A 21,609-nucleotide genomic window follows, 5' to 3' on the forward strand; every position below is an offset into this window, starting at 1 on the left:
CATCAAGGGGACCAGCAGGTCAGAGCACCCTCCACCTAACAGGGCCACATTTCCTTGAAGTTTGTGAGTATAAATATCCCCTTTTAGCAGAGAAAGGATCTGATTTCATTATTAATGGTCACGGATATCTTTATTTGTGTTTCTTTGATCTAGGCCCTAGGAGATGAGTCAGTGGGTGAAATCTACTGAAGGGGTTGTGAGTATGGATTGTGGCCTATCTAGGTTGAAACTTGGGCCTTCCCACTTACTGTTCTGTGGCCTTGGACAGTTTGCCTCACTTTTTTGAATCTCTGAGCCTAAGAGTCTAGGCTGGTGTTTCTCTTCTTTAAAGCTACCACCATCTACTTTATGCCTTGGAAAAAATGTCCCCAGCATACCTGTGAGATAGAGTACTGTCTTAGCCTCTGCCCTTCCCACTTTCTTGAAGGTTTAGCCCACAGCCCTGGGTTTGTTGATGTTTAACTGCTAACTTCCCTGGAGGGAGGCAGGGAAGCAAAGTTGCACACCAGGAATATCTACAGAGATTCTAGAATTCCACAGAATTGGAAACTGTGCCCCTGGGTCTATATTTCTTGGCTCCTGACTCTTCCAAGGAGGTCCCTGGTTTCCTGTTTGCTTCCATTTTCCCCAAGAGAGGAGCTTTGCCTTTCCTTCATTGGGCCACCGTGCTGAAGGGCTGTGAGAGTAGAACAGTGGGAGGCCAGGTGAGTCTGGCAAGCCAACTTGACCAAACAAGGAATTTGGCCATCCTCACGGGGCGGTGTCATGGAGGCTAGAGGTGGGGAGAGGCTGGAGCCAGAGCCTGGACACCTGGCCAGGCTCTAGTTGTTCATCTCTCTCCTCTTTGTCCTTCCTCATCGCTTTCTCCTGCCTCCCCTGACTTCCTCTGACTGTATTAAGGTGGCTGCCCTACAGCTCCTGAGTCCTAGAGACTGATTCACTTTTTCTCCCTCCATCTAGCTTCCAAATTCATACACAAGTAATTTATTAATTGCCTGGAGGGTTCAGATTCATGTCATTCAAAATGACTGCCTGGATTCCACCCCTGGCTGGGGTTGAGGGCAAGGTACCGTTCCTAGAGATGTGGGAATGGTTGAGAGCCGAGCACTCTCAAGATGCCAGGAATGGGTGCCATTGTCCATCAACATCCACTTGTCCTAATATGTCATTTGCCTCTTGGGGCCCTTCTGGCTTTGAGAGCCCTATCTGCTTTGATCAGTGCCTTTCGTGTTCATATTGTGCTGGCTTCTGAGCAGAGGCCAAGAACATGGCTGCAGGGCTGGTGGGCTGGGAGCCCACAGAGGAGTCAGGGAATGAGTGATGGCTCCTGCTAATTGATGGCCTCAAAATCATCCACGTTAGTGCAGCCTTTAGTTTTACATGACTTGGGTCAGATGTGGGGACACTTGGCCATTAGGAAGCTTTACATAGCTATTTGGGGTTAAGAAAGATTCCCCTTATGAGAGAGCTCATTCTACAGTTTTGTAACTCTTCCTTTGGTCTCTGATGTGCTGTCTCTTTGTGGGATAAAGTCTGCCTCTGGAGAGTCCCATATATCAGTGGCCCATCTGGGTCTTTTGGGTTCTGTGGAGGCTCCCCGAGACCTCCTCTGGGGTGGAAGGAGTCCTAGAGCTACTTCAGTCACTTCCTCTGTGGTGATCATAGCAGTGTGGCCAAGCCAGGGGCTATATCTTGGCTGGGCAATGAGGGGGTTTGCCCTGGCGGCTGGAGATGCATAGGGTGTTCCTAGACCGAGAGCCCACCACCCCCCAGCCCGCCTTTTTTTTTTGAGATGGAGTTTTGCTCTTGTTGTCCAGGCTGGAGTGCAGTGGCGTGACCTCGGCTCACTGCAACCTCTGGCTCCTGGGTTCAAGAGATTCTCCTGCCTCCGCCTCCCGAGTAGCTGGGATTACAGGTGCCCGCCACCATGCCCGGCTAATTTTTTGTGTTTTTAGTGGAGGTGGGGTTTCACCATGTTGGCCAGGCTGGTCTCAAACTCCTGACCTCAGGTGATCCGCCGCCTTGGACTCCCGTAGTGCTGGGATTACAGGCGTGAGCCACTGTGCCTGGCCAAGAGCCCATTTTTTATGGAAGTGCACTTCCTTGGGACTCTTAGAATTCAGTAGGGTGTATTAGACAAATTATATGTCTAACTAGAAAAAGTGCATTTTAAAAGCTTTATTTATATCTGGCTGGTACTTTAATAGCCATGTTAGTAACTTCTGACTAGGTTTGTGCCTATATTTGACTGAGACAGTTAGGTTGACTCTCCCTCTCACCCTAAGAAATTTAAAAAATAAATACTTTTATAGGACCATAGGATTTTACATGCCAAGATTTAGGCTGAAAATCCGAGCATAAAAATTGGTTTGTATGTAACAGGAAGATTAATAGGCAGTTCCTCCCATCCCCTGTCCCCCGTCTTACAGAGTGGTCCTGGCAGCCCCTGCCTGCCTGTAAATACTTGGGTTTGCCTCATTGGCAGGTCAGCATGGGGCAGGAAGAAGCCAGATTATTTTATGATCCATAAACGCAAGCACCAGACATGCTCCGAAATTCATTAGTGTTTACTTGTCATTACAAATAGCCTGTGTTGTTTGCCTTCCGACTAGACGGGCAGACAGTCAGGGCCCAATTGCAGGGTGTGGAGGGCCCTGAAACCCCGACTCTCTTGGGAAATGAGAGTTTAAAGCAAAGTTTTAATTTATGGCTGCAGATTGTTTCTTTCTCCTGAGTGTAGGTATTGAGGGTGTGAATCTTCAGATTCAGACTGGCTTTTTCTTCAGTGGAAAATATGAAGTTTTTGGATAAAACCTACTAATAAGTAGTCATCTCATGTTTGTTTTGTTTTAGTTATTTCCCCCTTTTGAATTATAGATAAACTTTTTAAGCAGGGAAAGCTTAAAAAGTTTAAGCTTAAAAAGCCTCAAAATGTTATGCCCAGATACTTCCCTGGGCAGCAGATTTTGTACCATCTCCCCCTGAGCCTGACCGCTTTACAGAGAGCAGCCCTGTGTCTCGGCCACCCTTCCCTTCCCTCCTCTTGGACCTGGAGCACCCAGGGCTTGGGCTATGGCAGGCCCCTGACTGTAGCCCCCTTGGTCCATTTCAGACCCGGGTGACACCACAAGGTGATTGTGAGACTGTGGAAACCCCTAAGCTGCTGCTGTTCCGACGTGGAGGTAGTCAGGACGGGCTGAGCTGTCTCAGCTGCACATGTGCTGAAGCTGAGACTAAGGCAGCCCTTGGAGGCTGAGTGGCATCTGGGGGAAGGCTGGTGTGCAAAGGGCCAGATGTCTGAGGTTTCTGAGTGGAGTTGTAGATTTGAATGTAATTAGAGGATAATTCTTCCAAATGATCTTCATGTGGGGCTGGCTTAGGCATTCCTGGGGTCTGCTTGGGATGGTGGCTTCATGTCTATCAATCACTCAGTTGTTCAGCACCTATTGACCAGGCACATACCATGTGTAAGACCCCCTGCCTGGTATTTCAGGGAACTCGAAGATGAATGAGGAATCCCTGGTCTAATGGGAAAGGTAAGAGATTTACCTAAATAATTACAAGGGTCTCACTAAAGAGGACAAAGTGCTATATGGGAGGGGAGCCAATACTTCCAGCTAGGACAACACACAAAGCATCCTGGTGGAGCTTCCGTTGTGGCCTGGAGAATTGGTATAATTTGGACACAAGATAGCGAGAAATGGCATTTCAGGTACCAGGAACAGCTTGAACACAGGTAAGGCAGTTGGGAAGAAAGTGGCCATGTACAGGGACCAGTGAGCAGATTAGTTTGATCTAAAGCAAAGGTGAGGAGCTTTGTGGGAAGTAAGACTGGAGAATAGAGTGGCCCCACTATGGCCTTGGTTCTGTGGGCGCTGGCAGAGCAAGTGTTGTTTGGGAGCTGTGCTTCCTTCAAGAAGCTGAACAGGTGGAAGCCAAAGTCCTACAGGTGCCATAGTCACAGCATGCCCCAAACCAAGCCTGATTCTTTCCCCAGAATCCCGCTGTGGTACGCACCCCTGGAATGGCATGCCTGCCCACCCAGTCAGGCCAGAAGCATGGTGTCTGTTATTGACGCCCCCTCTCTCTCCCACAGTCTCTGCTCCCAGTCAGTCCCCACACCCTATCTTCCCCTTTTCCACCTGTCTGTCCCCAGTGCTACCCCTCAACTTTGGCACTTATCTCCCAGCGGGCATCTCTACACCCATGTCTGCCCCATCCCACTCCGTTGCCCAATCTGTGGTTTTAAATCTCTGTCCACATCCCTGAGCCTCTTCAGCATCTCCAGTGGTTTCCCCAGTGCCTTTGGGTGATTCCACATCTCTAAGGGGGGCGTGCAGGTAGGAGTGACTTATCCTTTCCTTCCAACCCTCTTCTGGCCTCCCGACTCACTCTCTGATTCACCTCCTCTGGCCTTCCCACAGGTCCTTGAACCTACCTCCAGGCCTGTGCATTTTCTGCTCTCTGCCTGGCATGCTAGTCCCCCCACTTCAGCTAAGCCAGTCCTTCTTATACACTGATTGCACTCTGAACTTTTCCTTATGCGTTCAGCAACATGTTCATAATTGATGCCTGTCTTCTCCACCGGAAGCCAAGCATTGCCTTGTCACTGCTGTGTCCTCCTAAGCTTTGCACAGTGCTGGGCACAGAGGAGGCACTCCGTGAAGACTGACTGGCATTACTGATTAAAGGATGCAGGTGACAGAGCTGGGGAGCTAAGGCAAACAGAGCAGCCCGGGCCTGAGGTTGGGAACACTGCCATGGTCTTGCTTCCAGCCTTAAAAAAGGGGTTTCACACCATTGAAGGCTAGTGGCTCAAATGTTCAAAAGGTTTCCTCATACTTTTAAGTATCCCTGTATAGATCAAACATTTGAAAGTTGTTTTTCCTTTGAGCCTTTTAGGAAAGGGAACTTTTCCTGAAAGAGCCATTCCTCTTGGTCTGTGTGCACACCAGCCATCTGTAGCCATCATCAGACAGTACAAATGCCAGAACAGCCCAGCACCCCATAAGATGTTCCACTGCGTAGCCATTGCTGGAATTTATCAAATTCTGGCATTGTTTCCAGGAATCCTACTCTGTCTAGAGACTTCAAGCTGCTTGTGATCAAAAAGCGAGTTAACTGGGATGGGGGAGAAGACTCTTTGGCTGTGAAATGTTGAATGAAATTATTATCTCATAATAATTTCATTATGAGATTAGGAATGGAGACTTACCCTGTGGTCCCTCTTGCAGTCTGCCTTGCTGCATACTGAATTCGGCTGGACACTGCAGGGAGGCCTGGGGGTGGGGGGTGTGGCCCTAGGTTGAGACAGCCTTCAGTCCCTGTGCATCCTCTAGGCCCATCATTTTTTTACAGCCCCCATCCCCCACCTCATCAGCCTTTTCTAAGTGATGTTTGTCCACTCCCTGGTCTCCTGTGTGGTTATCTTACATCATACCCGGGACCTTTGCTTATTAAGAGATGAGGCTCTGGAGTCTGCCATTTACTACCTGGATGCACTTGTATAGTTATTTAATCTCTGTGAGCCACAGTCTTCTCATCCATCAAATGAAATAGTAAAATCTACTTTATGGTCTGGTTTTGAGACTTAAATAAAATAAAGTAGATTTAAGCCCATTATATAGTACCTAGAATGTAGGAAACATGCAGTAACTTATAGTTCTCTTCCTTCCCTGTCTTTTTGTTCCTTTTATAACCCCTGTGGTGCCATTCACTTTGTAGATAGTCACTATTATTCAAAATACTGGTAGAAAATCATGGTAACAATGCCTGCCCAGGCTGACAGCACTGTGGTTAAGAGCCTGGGCTTTGGAGTGCAGACCTGGATATGAATTCCACTTTGTCACTTATTTGTTACATTGACTTTAGGCAAGTTAATTATCCTTTCTGAATCTCAATTTTAGTTATGTGTAACCTGGGGGCAATCATAGCCCTTCCTCAGGGTGCCATTGTTAAAAAATTACGGAGCATAATGTGAGAAAAGTATTTTGCCTAGTGCCTGAGATACAGTAAGCAAACTGTTAGCTGCTGTTATTAGTGTTTATTATTATTATTCTCAGCCTGGGAACAGGACTGCGAACAGATCTTGAAGGACTCTGTTCGCCTCTCAAAGTGAGGAGGAGCTTGGCTTCCTGGCGGTTGGTTATCTCAGTGTGTTCCCACTGTATTCTCGTCCTGCCTGGTGAGATTTGGGGCTACACGGTTTGGGTCTCAGCGTCCCCAAGATGGTCCTGGGTGTAAGATGGCCTAGGTTGCCTCTTTGGTATCTGATCATCTGGTTGTGTCTGCTCCTGACCTGCAAACTTTCAGAGACAGCTTTTTCTTGGGAACATGGAAAACATGTGGGACACTTCATGTATACCACCCATTTGTTCCCCTCTTCTCCCAAGTTCTTCTCCTGCCCTGGACATCACATCCCTCCCTCCCTGCCCTGCTCCACTTGGAGGCACTTCTCACACCATGTTTCCACCTCCAAAAGATGCACCTGATCCCACCTGGGGTTTAACCCTTCTGCCCTTGACTGCCTTTCTCTCCCTTCTCCTCCTTTTTTCTTTTCTTTCTTCCTTTCCTTTCTTCCCTTTCTTCTCTTCTTCTTTTTCCTTCTCTCTTCTCTCTGTCTCTTTTTCTGGAACCTGAGTTTTCCATTTGCATTTTTTTCTGTTCATCTGCTCCCATCTGTTCCCAGGCTCCCTCCTTCCCTGCCACCCCACTGTTTCCTGTCTCCTGCCACACCAGATTGTCTTGTCCAATTTATCCCTGTACAACAGTGCAGTGCCTAGAAGCCCCCACCCCTTCCTGACTGTCTCTCTCGGACTCAACCTCTCCATTTGCCCTCGAAACACTGAAAGAAAGAAAAGTGCTGCAATTGCCCAGTCTCCAGGGGCAGGTCTTACTTAATAACGTTTTTATGTAATGCCGGTTATATGGCCCCTGCTTCTCTTAGGCTCACAGAATGGGAGAGCTGGGAGGATCTCAAAGACCATCTGGTGCTGCTATATTTTATAGAGAGTAATCTGTAACTCCTGCAGTGGGATGGGCTGACTTTAAGTCACAGAGGGGGTTTAGGACACATCTCAGATTAGAACCCAGGACTCCTGACTTCATAAAAATATAAAATTGCCAATGTGAACGGCATGTGTCCTTGTAGGTCTTTTTTTGTATTTATTTCATTCTACCTATAACCCGAGGCCTCTAACAGTTGCAGCTGGATCTACTTAACCCATTAATGACAAGCCCTACCTCCTTTTGCAGGAGTGAAGCATGGAGGTGGGGACAGACTTCAAGCGATGGAGATATAAACAACCTAGGTCAGTCATACGCAGTGTCATCATCTGTTCAGTCTTCCTACTTGTCCTGGGCTGACCTTGCCCTCTGGTTCTTAGCTTCCTGCCTTGGCTCCAACCTCACTCCAGCCCTTATTGATGGGGCTTCATGGTTTGTCTTTGGTTCTCCTACCTTGACCCCACCTTTTCAAGAAGTACACCTTATATTTCAATGTCACGTCTTTTTACATCAGTTAGAGCTGTGTTGTCTTAATATGGTGGCTGCATGTGGCTGTTGAGCATTTGAAATGTCATTACTTCAAATTGAGATGTTCTGTAAATATTAAAAAAAAGACCAGATTTCAAAGACTTACTACAAAAAGGAAAGTATCTCCTTAATAATTTGTTATATTTTCTATTGATTACATTTTGAAAAGATAATATCTTGGATATACAGTCATATGTCACTTAAAGATGGGATGCATCATGAGAAATGCATCTTTAGGTGATTTTGCCCTAGTGTGAACACCATATTGTGTACTTACACAAACCTAGGTGGCATAGCCTACTATACATTTAGGTGATACGGCATAGCCTCTTGCTCCTGGGCTACAAACCTGTACAGCGTGAGTACACTGAGTAATGCAGGCAAGTGTAATATAGTAGTAAGTATCTGTGTAGCTAAACATAGTTAAACATAGAAAAGGTACAATAAAAATATAATGTAAAAGATAAAAATGGTATACCTATATAGGACACTTACCATGGATGGAACTTCCAAGACTAGAAGTTGTTCTGGGTGGGTCAGTGGTGAGTGAATGTAAAGGCCTTGGACATTACTGTAATACACAACTGTAGACTTTATAAATGCTATATATGTGGGCTATACTAAATCTATAAAAAATTTTCTTCAATAATAAATTAACCTTAGCTTACTGTAACTTTTTTACTTTACAAACTTAAAACTTTTTGACTCTTTTGTAATAACACTTAGCTTAAAACACACATTGTTCAGCTGTACAAAAATATTTTCTTTTTTAATATCCTTATTCTATAAGATTTTTTTGTATTTTTAAAATTATTTTTTCTTTTTCAACTTTTTTCATTAAGAACTAAGACGCAGACACACACATTAGCCTAGGTCTACTCAGGGTCAGCATCGTAAATATCACTGTCTTCCACCTCCACATCTTGTCCCACTGGAAGGTTTTCAGGGATGGTCACACACATGGAGCTGTCATCTCCTATAATAATGCCTTCTTCTGGCCGGGCGCTGTGGCTCACACCTGGAATCCCAGCACTTTGGGAGGCCGAGGCAGGTGGATCACCTGAGGTCAGGAGTTTGAGACCAGCCTGACCAACATGGTGAAATCCCGTCTCTACTGAAAATACAAAAACTTAGCCGGGCATGTTGGTGCACCTGTAATCCCAGCTACTCAGGAGGCTGAGGCAGGAGAATTGCTTGAACCTGGGAGGCGGAGCTGCAGTGACCCGACATTGCGCCACTGCACTCCAGCCTGAGTGACAGCAAGACTCCGTCTCAAACAAAACAAAACAAAACAAAACCCAAACCAACCAACCAAACAAAATAATGCCTTCTTCCGGAAGGACCTGCCTGAGGCTATTTTATAGTTAACTTAAAAAAAAAAAAAACAGTAGAAGGAGCACATTCTAAAATAACAGTGGGCTGGGTGTAGTGGCTCACGCCTGTAATCCCAACACTTTGGGAGGCCAAGGCAGGTGGATCACTTGAGGTCAGGAGTTCCCAGCCTGCCGAACACGGTGAAACTCCGTCTCTACTAAAAATGCAAAAATTAGCTGAGCGTGGTGGCGCGTACCTGGAGTCCCAGCTACTTGGAGGCTGAGGCACAAGAATCGCTTGAACCTGGGAGGCGGAGGTTGCAGTGAGCTGAGTTTGTGCTGCTGCACTCCAGCCTGGGTGACAGTGAGACTCTGTCTCAAAAAATAATAATGATGATAATAATAATAATAATAATAATAATAATAATAACGATGAAAAGTATAGCAAATACATAAACCAGTAACAGTCATTTATTATCAAGTATTATGTACTGTATATAATTGTATGTGCTGTACCTTTATGTGACTGGTAGCACAGTAGGTTTGTTTACACCAGCATCACCACAAACACTTGAGTACTGAGTTGTGCTATAACATTTCTATGACTACGGCATCACTAGGTGATAGGAATTGTTAGCTCCATTATAATCTGATGGGACCACTGTTGTATATGTGGTCCATTGTTGACCAAAATGTCGTTCTGCAGTACATGACTATATTGAGTTAAATAAAATAAATGGTCAAAATTAATTTTACCTGTTTCTTTTTCCTTTTTTAAAACATGGTATTTGAGAATTTAAAATGTGTGGATTACATTATATTTCTGTTGGACATTGCTGGGTTATAGCCTCATAGGCCTTTCGCAACCAGGATTTCATGAGAGAATTAAGCCTTGTGCCTGAAGGTCCATTGTATGTAATGAATGTACCATCTCAGGAGAGTTAAGAAACAGTCACTCAAATCATTTTCTGTGCTCTGTGGTTCAGATAAGAAACTTAGATGAGAAAGGCTGTAGCACCTGTTGTTACTCTTTTTTCTGTTGTTGCATGCATTTACTGTTCATTTTTTATTTTATTTTATTTTATTTTATTTTTGAGATGGAGTCTTGCTTTGTCGCCCAGGCTGGAGTGCAGTGGTGCAATCTCGGCTCACTGCAAGCTCTGCTTCCCGGGTTCATGCCATTCTCCTTCCTCAGCCTCCCGAGTAGCTGTGACTACAGGTGCCCGCCACCATGCCTGGCTAATTTTTTGTATTTTTAGTAGAGACAGGGTTTCACCATGTTAGTCAGGATGGTCTCGATCTCCAGACCTTGTGATCCACCCACCTCGGCCTCCCAAAATGCTGGGATTACAGGTGTGAGCAACCGCGCCTGGCTGCTGTTCATTATTTTTTATTGCTTACTAATAATATTCCATTGTATAAATGTACCACAACTTGTCTGTCCATTCTGCTGCTTGACATTTGTGTTTCCAGGTTGAGGCTGTTATTTAACTTTGATTTTAAGTTCAAGGGTGCATGTGCAGGGCGTGCAGGTTTGTTATACAGGTAAACATGTGTCATGGGGGGTTTGTTGTTTCAAATTTCAATTCAAATTCCTGTAGTGTTTCTCTCAATTGTATAATGAGGGCTGTTGGTTTGAGACAGATACTACTAAGCTTCTAAGTTGTTTTTCTCTTTTTTAAAATCTCAGATGAATGTTACATTTTTCCAATTACCATTTCAATATCTATTGAGAGGATCATATCACTTTTTTATCTTGGAATTATCAATATGCTTGTTTGATTATTAACATTAGCTGATTCCTGTATTTCTTAGCCAAACTTGTTAAGTTTGGGGATTTTTTTTTCCGTCACTTTTTGTGCTGTGGTATAAACTATTTGCCATAAGAATTATGTATTCTTCAAAAGCCTGAGAGAACTCACTGGTAAAACCATGTGGTCTTGGAACCTTTGGTTTAACTTTTCTCGTTTCTTGCAGGGTTTTTAGCATACTCATCAAATATAGAAAAGTTTCAGTTAGTCAAAAATAGAAGGCAGTGCGAAGATTAGGTCAGAGCCTGCACCTTCCTGTGAAGCAGGTACTTCCAAAAATTTCATTTTGTATTCCCAGCAATAGTCAGGATGACCCTGCAGCACATGAGGATCAACATTAAGAAAGATTGAACTGTGCTGAGACACATGAATTGCAATGGGAAAAGTGAGCAACAAGTTAGAGATTGCAGAAAACCAAAGTAATAAATTAAGGGACAAACTACAATTTTCTTCTGAAACTCAGAGCAAAAACAAAGGAAGATGAATGTGATGAATTGTTTCTAGGAGATGTCATGTGTGTATATCACAGGAATTCTAAAAAGGAAGGGTGGGCAGATGTGAGAAAATGTTTGTAATGTATTAAGGACAAAAGCAGATTATAAAACCACAGCTATAGTATGAGCTCAGTTGAGAGCCAGTGTGTGTGCATGTGTGTGCCCCTGCACCTGTGAGTGTGGGCATAGCTACCGGCCATGGATGTGCTCTGTGGCTGAGGGTCCAGGCTCCAGAGGCAACAGGCCTAGGTTTAGTCCTGGCTCTCATATTGAACACATATGAGGATTTGAGCAAATTGTTGAACTTCTCCAGCTATGCCTCTATTTCTTCATCTGTAAAATGGGGCAATAATAGTACCTATTTCATAGGGGTGTTGTGAGAATTCAGGGAGCAATGGATAAATATATGTAAAATTACTGACATTGTGCCTGACACTTAGAAAGTGTCCTCAGTAAATGTTATTGTTTTTATTGTCATTATTATAAACCAAAATGTAAACTTTAGTTTTCTCTGAGTGTTAAGGCTAATAGGTAATTTAAATTTTCTTCATTGGAGGCCAGGCCCATCTGCCTATAGTTCCAGTTACTCGGGACGCTTAGGCAGGAGGATTGCTTGAGCCCAGGAGTTTAAGGCCAGCCTAAGCAATGTAATAAGACCCTGCCGGCCAGGCTTGGTGGCTCGCAGTTGTAATCCCAGCACTTTGCGAGGCCGAGGCAGGTGGATCACTTGAGGTCAAGAGTTTGAGACCAGCCTGGCCAACATGGTGAAACCCCGTCTCTACTAAAAATACAAAAACTTAGCCGGGCATATTGGTGCACCTGTAATACCAGCTACTCGGGAGGCTGAGGCAGGAGAATTGCTTGAATCCTGGAGGTGGAGGTTGTGAGCTGAGATCGCACCATTGCACTCCAGCCTGGGCAACAAAGGGAGACTCTGTCTCAAAAAAAAAAAAAAAGGCATTCAGATTTTTAAAAAAAGTTCTTCATTGGGCTTCTGTATCATGCAGGTTTTCTGTAATGAACATGTATTAGGTCCCTAATTAAAAAAAAGAAAAGTTTTTCTTCTTCTTCTTTTTTTTTTTTTTTTTTAAAGAGAACATCTGAATGATGTATTCGGAAAAAAACATTTCCCAAGAATATGGAGAAAGGGAATTGAACATAATTCCCAGTGTAAGAGTGGAATGAGCATGTGGCCCTGTGGGCCTAGTCCCAGTTTGTTAATCTTGTGAGCAGAGCTGCTGGCGGCTGCTCTCAGTCCGCTAATCGGGCTCTTTCTCTGTCACGTGGACAGGAGACTGCTCACAGGGTTGCAGTTGGCTGCTGCCCTGCGTTGACAGCTGGTTCTAATTGTGCAGAGCTACGTAGTACTAGGGCTGGAGAGGGAAGGTTTTGGGAAATTTGCATCATCTTCCTGACCCTAAGTCTGTATGTTTTCCAAGCAGATGGTAGCTTGAGGATTTGATGAAACAGTAGTGACTGTAAATGAGTTGTTATTCTATAGAAACTAGTATGACCTGAAAGCTGAGAAAGATAAATTGCTTCTGCTTATTCAGTGAGTACATATATGTGTATACTGATTTCACTGGAGGCACCATTTTTCCACAGTGATCCTTTCCCCCTCTTGTGGTTTGTCTAGCCAGGGGTTCTGGGGCCTCGGGAGGCCCTCATGTTCATTTCTTCCACGGCCCATACTGCCTCCTCCCTTTCTCCACACACACAGCCCTTAACAGGTATTTATTTCAAATTACCAAAGTGAGTTGCTCTCACATAAGAAAATGCAAATATCCCGTGCACTTACCAAACTTGATTCTAGTATAGTAGAAGGTGCTTAAAGGGTTTGGGCCCTCTCTGCCGTGCTCTCCCTCATGGCATCAGGGCAATACAGCCTACCAAACACTCCATGTGAGGGTTTGGGGAGCCACCTCTGCCCAGTCCCTACGTTGTTTTCCCATCCCATGCAGAAAAAAAAAAAAAATTGCACTCTTTACCTTCCCTTAAGGCTGGGACCTGGCCTCCCACCCCTGTCCTGTCTCACTGTTTCTTCTCCCACTCCTCCCCAGGCTCCTTCTGCTCCAGCCATGGGCTACCTTGCTGTTCTCAGATATCTCATGGTGTTCCTGAATCAGGGTCTTGACCCGTGCACTTCACTTCCTTCTGCCTGGGACCCTCCTCCCCTAGATACCTGCAGAGCATGCTCCTTTACCTCATTCCTGTCTCTACTCCATGCCAGCTTGTCAGACAGGCCTGCTGAGACATCCCCTCCAAATATTCCTACCTTCATCCTCATTCATGCTTTTTCGCAGGAGTTATCATCTGACTTATTATGATTTCTTTAGAAATCTCTCTTCTCCTGTAGAAGGTAAGCACCATGAAAGTAAGAGCATGTTTGTTTGTTCACTGCTGCATTTCCTAAAACATACTTTAATTTTGGTGAATAAATGAATGTAGATGTGCTTTATAAACTGCCAATCACTGTTGTCTCTTCCTTTTTCTCTTCCTTCCTCCTTTATGGTTTCATATCAACTCTTTCCCTTCTTCAAACACCATCATCATCATCATCATCATCACCACCACCACCATCATCGTCCAAGAAAGAACTAAAGATACCTCAGTCCACTGGCAGCTCCCAGAAGGCTTGGACCTAGGCAATGTCTATTAGGACTGCAACCTTGGGAAATAAAGCAGGAAAGTCCAGTTGTCCTTTGTGGCCTTGAGTTGTGGTAATTTATGTTCCTGTCTGTCCCTGCTTTGAGCAGACACCAATTTCAAGACCCGGTCTGACTCACTGTGGAACCTTTCCAGCACAGTCCTGGCACTTAGATGGCTCTCTCTTCTTTCTTTCCCACTTGCCCTTAATCCCTTTATTCCTCCTCCTCCCTTCTTTTCTTCAATTTTTCTTCCTCTTTCCTTGCTTCCTTGTTCTTTTTGTCTTTCTCTCCTTCCTGTTTTTCTTTCATGTTTCACTGCAGCTGGTCTTCTTCCAGGGAGGGCTTGGGACAGTGCCTGGCAGTGAGTTCCCCTCCAGCCATGAGCTTTTCTGACTCCCTCAGTGCTAACGCTCCCTCCCTCTGCTACCAGGGGACCTGCATGCACTTGATTCTAGCCTTAACAGCTCTCCTGTAGGACAGGTGTGTTTCCCTAAGGCCCAGCTGGTCATGATTTTCACATGATTACTCCATCAAAAAGTACAGAAACAGGGCTGGGCGCGGTGGCTCACGTCTGTAATCCCAGCACTTTGGGAGGCCGAGGTGGGTGGATCATCTGACGTCAGGATTTGGAGACTAGCCTGGCCAACATGGCAAAACCCTGTCTCTACTAAAAAGTACAAAAATTAGCCAGGCATGGTGGCGGGCTCCTGTAATCCCAGCTACTCGGGAAGCTGAGGCAGAAGAATTGCTTGAACCTGGGAGGCGGAGGTTGCAGTAAGCTGAGATCGCGCCACTGCACTCCAGCCTGGGTGACAGAGTAAGACTCTGTCTCAAAAAAAAAAAAAAAAAAAGGACAGAAGCACCTAGTGGTCATGTGAAAACTGTGTGTTATTTATAAATGTTGACACTGATAGGTTATAAGTAGGTTATGACTTTATAAAAATTAGGCATATTTTAGAGTATTTACTCAACTTCAAAATATATTTTTTACAAGGTTTACAATGTGTAATATGTCATCTACTAAAAATTATTTTTTCCAAGTGATCTTGTACATGATAAATAGTACAGGAAAGCTTATGAAGAAAAACCTTCACCTCAGTCCCCTCCCCAAAGGTACACTCTTTAAACTGTTTTTTCTGCTGGTTACTTTTGGAATTTTATTTGGCACACCAAAGCCTGAATTTCTTGTTTCACCAGCTTTGTGTGGTATCTTGTGACCGCTCACTTCCTATGCTTTCCCTCCAGTTCTCCACTGCCCACCTTCTGTTGATTATACTTTTACATTGCCTAATTAATGAGCTTCACCAAACTCATCACACTTTTCCTTAGGTGGACTCTTAAAGTTGAAAACCATCAAACAACACTTATTATTATGGCTACGTAACTGTTACACATAGTCAAGCCAAGTACTATGCCAGGATTGTGTTTCATTCCCTAGTAACCCTGGGCCATTCAAAAGAGAATATGCCTCACAAGACCTGTAGATTTTCTTCTCTTTTAATCCATTGATTGCTTGATACTGGGTATGTATTATATGTTGATTCATGTTATATTTTTAATTGTTTTTATATTTCCCCAGAGGCTTCCCTTCAGCAGCACTTTGTCCTGCTCCAGTGTGAACTAGTTGTTTTCCAGTCTTTTGCGCAGCTGTTTTTATAGGACCTTCCTTTGCAATGCTCTATGGTTGGACTCTTTCCTTTTTTTTCCTTCGTCATATTTATTGAGGTTTAATTACATCCAGTAAAAATCACCCATTTTAGTAAACAGTTTGGTGATTGTGAAGAATGAGTGTTCTCATGTGGAGACCTTGTCTGTCAACCCCAAAAGTTCTGTGTGCCCCTTTGTAGCCAGTTTGCCTCCTGTTCCCAGTCCTTGGCAACCAAGGATCTAATTCCTGTCTCTGTCATGTTTACCTTTTCCAGAATGTCATGTAAGTCAAATCATAATACTTTCTTGTGTGGTTTCTTTCACTTAGTATAAAACTGTTGACATTCGTGTACGCTGATGTATGCGTCACTCTGTCATTCGTGTTTTTGTTGCTGAGTAGTATTGGATTATATGGCTGTACCATGATTTGTTCATCGCCTCACCAGCTGGTGGAAATCCGGGTTGTTTCTAGTCTGGGGAAATAGAGAATGAAGTTGCCGTAAACATGCACATACAAGTTTTTTGTGGACATATATTGGTATTGGGTAAATACCTACCCAATGGGATTGCTGGGCCTACCAGTGAGATTGCTGGGGCAGTTGATAAGTGTGTGCCTAACTTGATGGGAAGCTGCCCACCTGCTTTCCTAAATGGCTGTTCTGATCCTCCATAGCACCTGGTATTGTCACTTATGTGTGCTTTTTGCGATGATTGAATTAAATGTGGTGTCCATTGTCATTTAGTTTGCATTTCCCTACTGACTAATGACATAGAGCACCTTCCCCTGTGTTTACTTGCCATCCACGCATCCTCCTGGTAAAGTGTATGAACAAATCTTTTCTTTCATTTTTTTTTTTTTGAGACAGTCTTTGTTCTGTCATCCAGGCTGGAGTGTAGTGGTATGATCATGGCTCACTGCAGCCTTGAACTCCTGGGCTCAAGCAATCCTCCTGCCTCAGCCTCCTGAGTAGCTAGGACTGCAGGCAAGCACACCATGCCTGGCTAAGTGTTTTTTGTTTTTTTTCTAATTTTCTGTAGCGACAGGGTTGCACTATATTGCCAGGCTGGTTTCAAACTCTTGGGCTCAAGCAGTCCTCCTGCCTCTGCCTCCCAAAGTGCTGGGATTACAGATGTGGTTTACTTTTTAAAAAACATTGGTGTATTAGGGTTCTCTAGAGAGACAGAACTAATTTTATCTATATATAGGATATATATACAAAAGGGAGTTTATTAAGTATTAACTCACACGATCACAGGGTCCCATAATAGGCTGTCTGCAAGCTGAGGAGCAAGGAGACCCAGCCTGAGTCCCAAAACTGAAGAACTTGGAGTTCGATGTTTGAGGGCAGGAAGCATCCAGCATGGGAGAAAGATGTAGGCTGGAGGGCTAGGCCAGTGTAGTCTTTTCACATTTTTCTGCCTGCTTTATATTCTAGCCGCATTGGCAGCTGATTAGATAGTGCCCACCCAGATTAAGGGTGAGTCTGCCTTCCCCAGCCCACTGACTCAAATGTTAATCTCCTTTGGCAACACCCTCACAGACACACGCAGGATCAATACTTTGCATCCTTCCGTCCAATCAAGTTGACACAGTATTAACCATCATCACAATTGGGTTGTTTGACTTCTATTGTTGAGTTGTAACAGTTTATATTTTATATACAAGTCTCTTTTCTATCACATATTTGTTTTACAAAATGTTTTTTCAGTCTGTTGCATTTCCTTTTCTTAACAGTGTCTAAGTACGTTAGAGGGGTTTTTTCTAAGTTTTTGTTTCTTTTTCTTCCAAAGTCATTGTCATTTATTACCTTGGTTTTCCTTCCGTTCTGTTGGCTTCACTCATATGCCTGGTGGCTTGTAGGTGTTGTGACTTTTTTCCCCTGGCTTTTCTCCTGAGGGGAGTCTGCCTGGGATAGCCAAGTGGCCTGGGCAAGACACAGCAGGTTGCCCACACTGCAGGATGACAGGGTGGGGACTGGCATGCAGGGTGCAGTTCTCTAACTGTCAGCAAAACGAGGCGACCTTTATTCTGTGGGTTCCAGCATGGAAGCCTTTAATTCTCCCATCCCACTTTTTGCCCGGGGGTGGATGCTAGCAGGCAGCGGGTGGGGGTGCTGGCTGAGACAGTGTCCAGTACACTGACCTTTCATTTGTCCTCTGTTTATTGTTCCTTAATGACTCTGAGCCAGGAGCCTTTCTGAGGTCCCCCAAGGCAGCCTGACTTCACCACCTCTGTAGCCCCTTCCTGGCATAGTCTAGCTTGAGACTTTCTGTTTTCGTTTAATCAAAATCCGTGCTGATCTCCAGTAATGTGTTGAAATCTCTCATTTGACGAGGGTAGTAGTGCCCTCCACTCCATTCTCTTCCTAGTTTAGGTCTATCTTTTACTTCTGTGCTTTGTCAGAGGGGTCTTGGGAGTGATGTTAGGCAAATGCATATGTCAGGTGTCATTTGAACACGCAACCTGTTTTGAACTTAATATGGAACCAGTTGTAGGTGGTTTTGGGTTTGTCACAGACACAGATGATGGAATCAGCTTCTCCCTTTTGAAACTTGTTTTTAATCATGGACTAACTTCATTGTTCTCTCACATATTTCATTCATGGTCTCATTAAGAGTTATAGAAAAAGATGATATTTGATTGTGTTTACAGTGAAATATATACAAATACAAGCATTTATATTTTGTTAATAACTATTAGGATCTGCTGGAACTGCAGATTTTACTGAGGGGAGAACTGGTGGTACTGGATGCGACCCCCACCCACCAGTGGATGAGGCTTCCCTGAAACAGACCAGATGCGTATTCTCCCCAATTAGCATATCCATAAACTATGGCACATTTACTGCCTAAAAGAACCAAGAAGCTTCTTTGCTTCCCTTAGCCTGCTTTGTAGTCTCAGATTGTTGTGAGTTCTGACTTTTCTGACACCATGTAGAGCGTGGGCTCTGGAATCAGACTGAGGTTTGAATCCCAGTTCCAGCACTTACTAGCCATGTGACCTTAGACATGTGGCAATCTCTCTGAGCCTCATAGTCTCATCCATCAATTGGTGCCTATCTCATCGTCTTGTTTGTGGATTCAGCAAGTTACAGCATGTAAGTCCCCTAGCCCAGAGTCTAGCAGGCCATTTTAACACTCAGTAAACACTGATTCTAGATATCCCTAAGTCTCTGCCCCTGGAGGAGCTCCCTATGTATCTGTAGACATTTTAACTCTGGATCCTATTATCCCTTTTGTCTTTTAAGCCCTGCCTGTGTTGCCAGAGGCACTGTGCCCCATTCTGGCTATGGCAGCCCGATTCCTGGGCTGGCCCTAACTCAGGTGTGGTGCTCTCAGAAGCCTGCCCAGGTTCTGCTTTGGTCTATGCCTTCATGTCACCCAGTTCTCCTCTAGGCTGCAAGCCTGCCGGAGCCCCGGCTAAGGCCTGCAGCTCTGTTCTGGCTGTGGTGAGGATGGGCTCCCATCACTTCTACCATCCACTACCTGTGTGGTCTGGACAAATTACCTGCTTGTTACATATTATTTCATTTAGAAATTGGAGGTCAGAGCAGTCATATCCACTGTGAGGGTTCTGTGAGGATAAAATGAGATGGTCTCTGTGGAGTGTGTAGCACAGTTCCTGGCACAACGTAGGTGCTCAATAAATCTTGCTGGTGCTTCCCTTTGGCTGGGCCTTGGCTCTCATCCTGGCACCATTGGAGTCCTACTGTCCAGGGACTGCTGTCCTGTGTGCCTCCTCCATCTGATTCCAGGGGCTCTCCTGGCCTGGATTTTCAGCCCCTGCACCCACTGCTCAGCGCTGCCTTTCCCCTTTGAGCATTATTTAATTTAATGAGCACGTTAAAAATATTACAATGTATCATTTTTTTCTAAGCACTTTGCAAATATCGGCCCATTCAATTCCTATAACTACCTTACAGAGGAGGTGCTATTATTAATGCCATTTTTCAGATGCAGAAAGTCAGGCACTGAGAGTTTAAGTGACTTGTCCAGGGTCACACAGCCAGGGAATCAGCCTGGTCCATGTAAGTCCCTAACTACTACATGCTGTGGCCTCTTTTTTGTGACCCTTGTGCCCCCAGAGCTCACTCCTGAGACCAGAGCCAGCCCCTCTGCCAGATCCCAGGTGGGTAGCTTTCATGGAATTCTGTTACTCCTGCTTGGGCCTCTAGACCCCCAACTTCCACACAAGGAAGGTGTGGACATCATGCACCTTTGCTACTGCCACAGCAGTCAGTATATATGGTCTCCTGGGGTGAATATAGATAGAGAAGAATGTAGACTTCCTTGTGGGTGACAAGGCATGGAAGTCCCTGAAGGACACGCCAGCCATTCTCTTTTATTTGCCCATCTCCTTAGCCCATTCTTAACTCTGTCACAAGAGTCTAGGCCCTGAATGCCTTACTCCCCAGTCAGACCCACTCTGGTCAGGTCCCCAAAACTGGCACTGTCTCCCTGACTGCCTTACTGGGTCACCTATCTCCCAGGGTGTTTCAGAACTCCTTTGGTTAGGTGTGTAATTGTCCCACCAGTTCTTCTGAAGATGATTTATAAAAGCAAATCTGGCAGGTCTTTCCTGTTGTTTTTTTTTCCTTCCTGTGAGAGGGTAGGATGGGAAGAGTGGGAGAAACATGGAGGGAGGAGGAAGAAGAAAGCCATTGAGCACAGTGGTGATGTGCTGTTGGCTGGTGCCAGCCTGGCAGTGGTCCTGAGGTCTGTTGTAGTGACTTGCCCTTGAGGCAATGCGTTTTCCATGTGGACACGTTTGATGAACGTGATTTGGAGATGACTGCAGTGAGAGTTAGGCACACGTGGAAGGGCCATGTGCTGACGCCAGCTTCCTGTGGCCCGATGGCCTAGATGCCGTGGGGGTCTTCAGAGAGGACTTGTCACCACTCCCCAGTCTCCTTTCCCAAGGCCTTACGTGATGGACTCCAGACACGGTCAGGGTTGGGCCTGTCTCAGCTCACCTCAAGGCGTCTGACTCCCAGACCCCTAAGCACAAAACCGGCAGCTAGTGGAGTGAGCCTCATGGTGGGGTGGCCCAGAGCAGCTTTGCAGGGGCAGCTGAAACCAGTGTTGATTCTTGCTTTCACCTAGGAATGCTTACAGGTGGGGGTATTAAGACTAAGTTTTTTTGCACAGTTAGGGATTATTTCCACAGTGTCTTTGTGATAAACATTCTTCTTTGACTGTCAGATGAATGTCTAAATGAATTTTTTGTTGTTAACGTGTTTTTTATTTAAGGCAGCTGGTCAGATACCCCTTTGGTTCTGGGCCCACTGATTTTGAGTTGTCTGTGGATGCCAAAGAAGGTATGGCCAGGAGGCACCTGGCTATCTTGGACGGGAGCTCAGGAGAGAAACTTGGGCTGGACACAGACATGTAGTTGAAGCCACAACAGTCAGTATATGTGATCTTCTAGGGAGAAATATAGAAGAATGTAGAAGATGACCTTGGACAAGTTGAGGTGGAGATTGTGTCAGAAAAGAAAAGAGCAGCCGGAAAATAAGACTAAGAGTGAGGGGCCCGAAAGGTGGGGAGACAACAGGAGAACACAGTGTGCAAAGGCAAGGCAGAGGACAACAAATATGGTGGAGGCTAAGAGCGGCCGGTGAAGGGGCGCTAATTTCCTAGTTGGGAAGTTGTCTTAGGGGAAGGAACAGTTACAGGGGAGCAGAGAGCAGGGAAGGCAGGTAGGAGAGGGGAGTGAGTTTAAGTCGTTCTCTTGCAAGGGAGAAGAGTGAGCAGGAGCTGGAGGGGACAGGGTCTGGGAGAGGTGTTTTTTATTGTTATTAATATTAATGGGAGAAGCTTAATGCATGTTAAAATGCTAGCAGGAAGGAGAAATTGGAGAGGAAGACGTGGAAGGTACAGGGATGACAGAGGGCATCAGAGTAAGGTCTCTGAGAAGGCAGAGGGGTGGGATGGGGGCAGGAAGAGAGCGAAAGAAGCCCCTCTTTCATTAAAGCCAGAAGGAGGGAGAGGATGCAAGGACATTTAAGTTTGGTGGCAGGAAGTTTTCTTCTCATAGCATCTGTTTTTCCCTGATGAGCCTGAGGAACACCCTGGTGACAGGAGGAAGGTCTCAGCAGCACCTGGTAAAGGACTGCACAGGCTCTTAGTCCCCTCACATCCAGTCAGCTCAGCCACGTAGTCA

General features: G+C 45.2%; 1 protein-coding gene and 1 long non-coding RNA gene across 56 annotated transcripts in view, besides 1 other annotated feature; both read left to right on the forward strand.

Moving 5' to 3' along the window:
- Positions 1–21,609, forward strand: part of RALGPS1 (Ral GEF with PH domain and SH3 binding motif 1) — a 308,385-nt gene that overhangs the window by 94,624 nt on the left and 192,152 nt on the right. The gene's annotated exons all lie outside the window — the stretch shown is intronic.
- On the forward strand, positions 9,624–13,845 carry LOC105376279 (uncharacterized). The gene is made up of 2 exons (XR_930370.3): positions 9,624–13,510; positions 13,743–13,845. It is a non-coding gene; the product is annotated as an uncharacterized LOC105376279 (long non-coding RNA).
- Positions 21,018–21,518: an enhancer, noted in NCBI's record as "H3K27ac hESC enhancer chr9:129792702-129793202 (GRCh37/hg19 assembly coordinates)". NCBI's record gives its function as "activates a minimal SCP1, AML or CMV promoter by ChIP-STARR-seq in primed H9 embryonic stem cells {active_cell/tissue: H9 hESC(primed)}" and the evidence as "EXISTENCE:reporter gene assay evidence [ECO:0000049][PMID:30033119]".

Source organism: Homo sapiens, chromosome 9, assembly GCF_000001405.40.
Source record: "Homo sapiens chromosome 9, GRCh38.p14 Primary Assembly".
Lineage (NCBI taxonomy): Eukaryota > Metazoa > Chordata > Mammalia > Primates > Hominidae > Homo > Homo sapiens.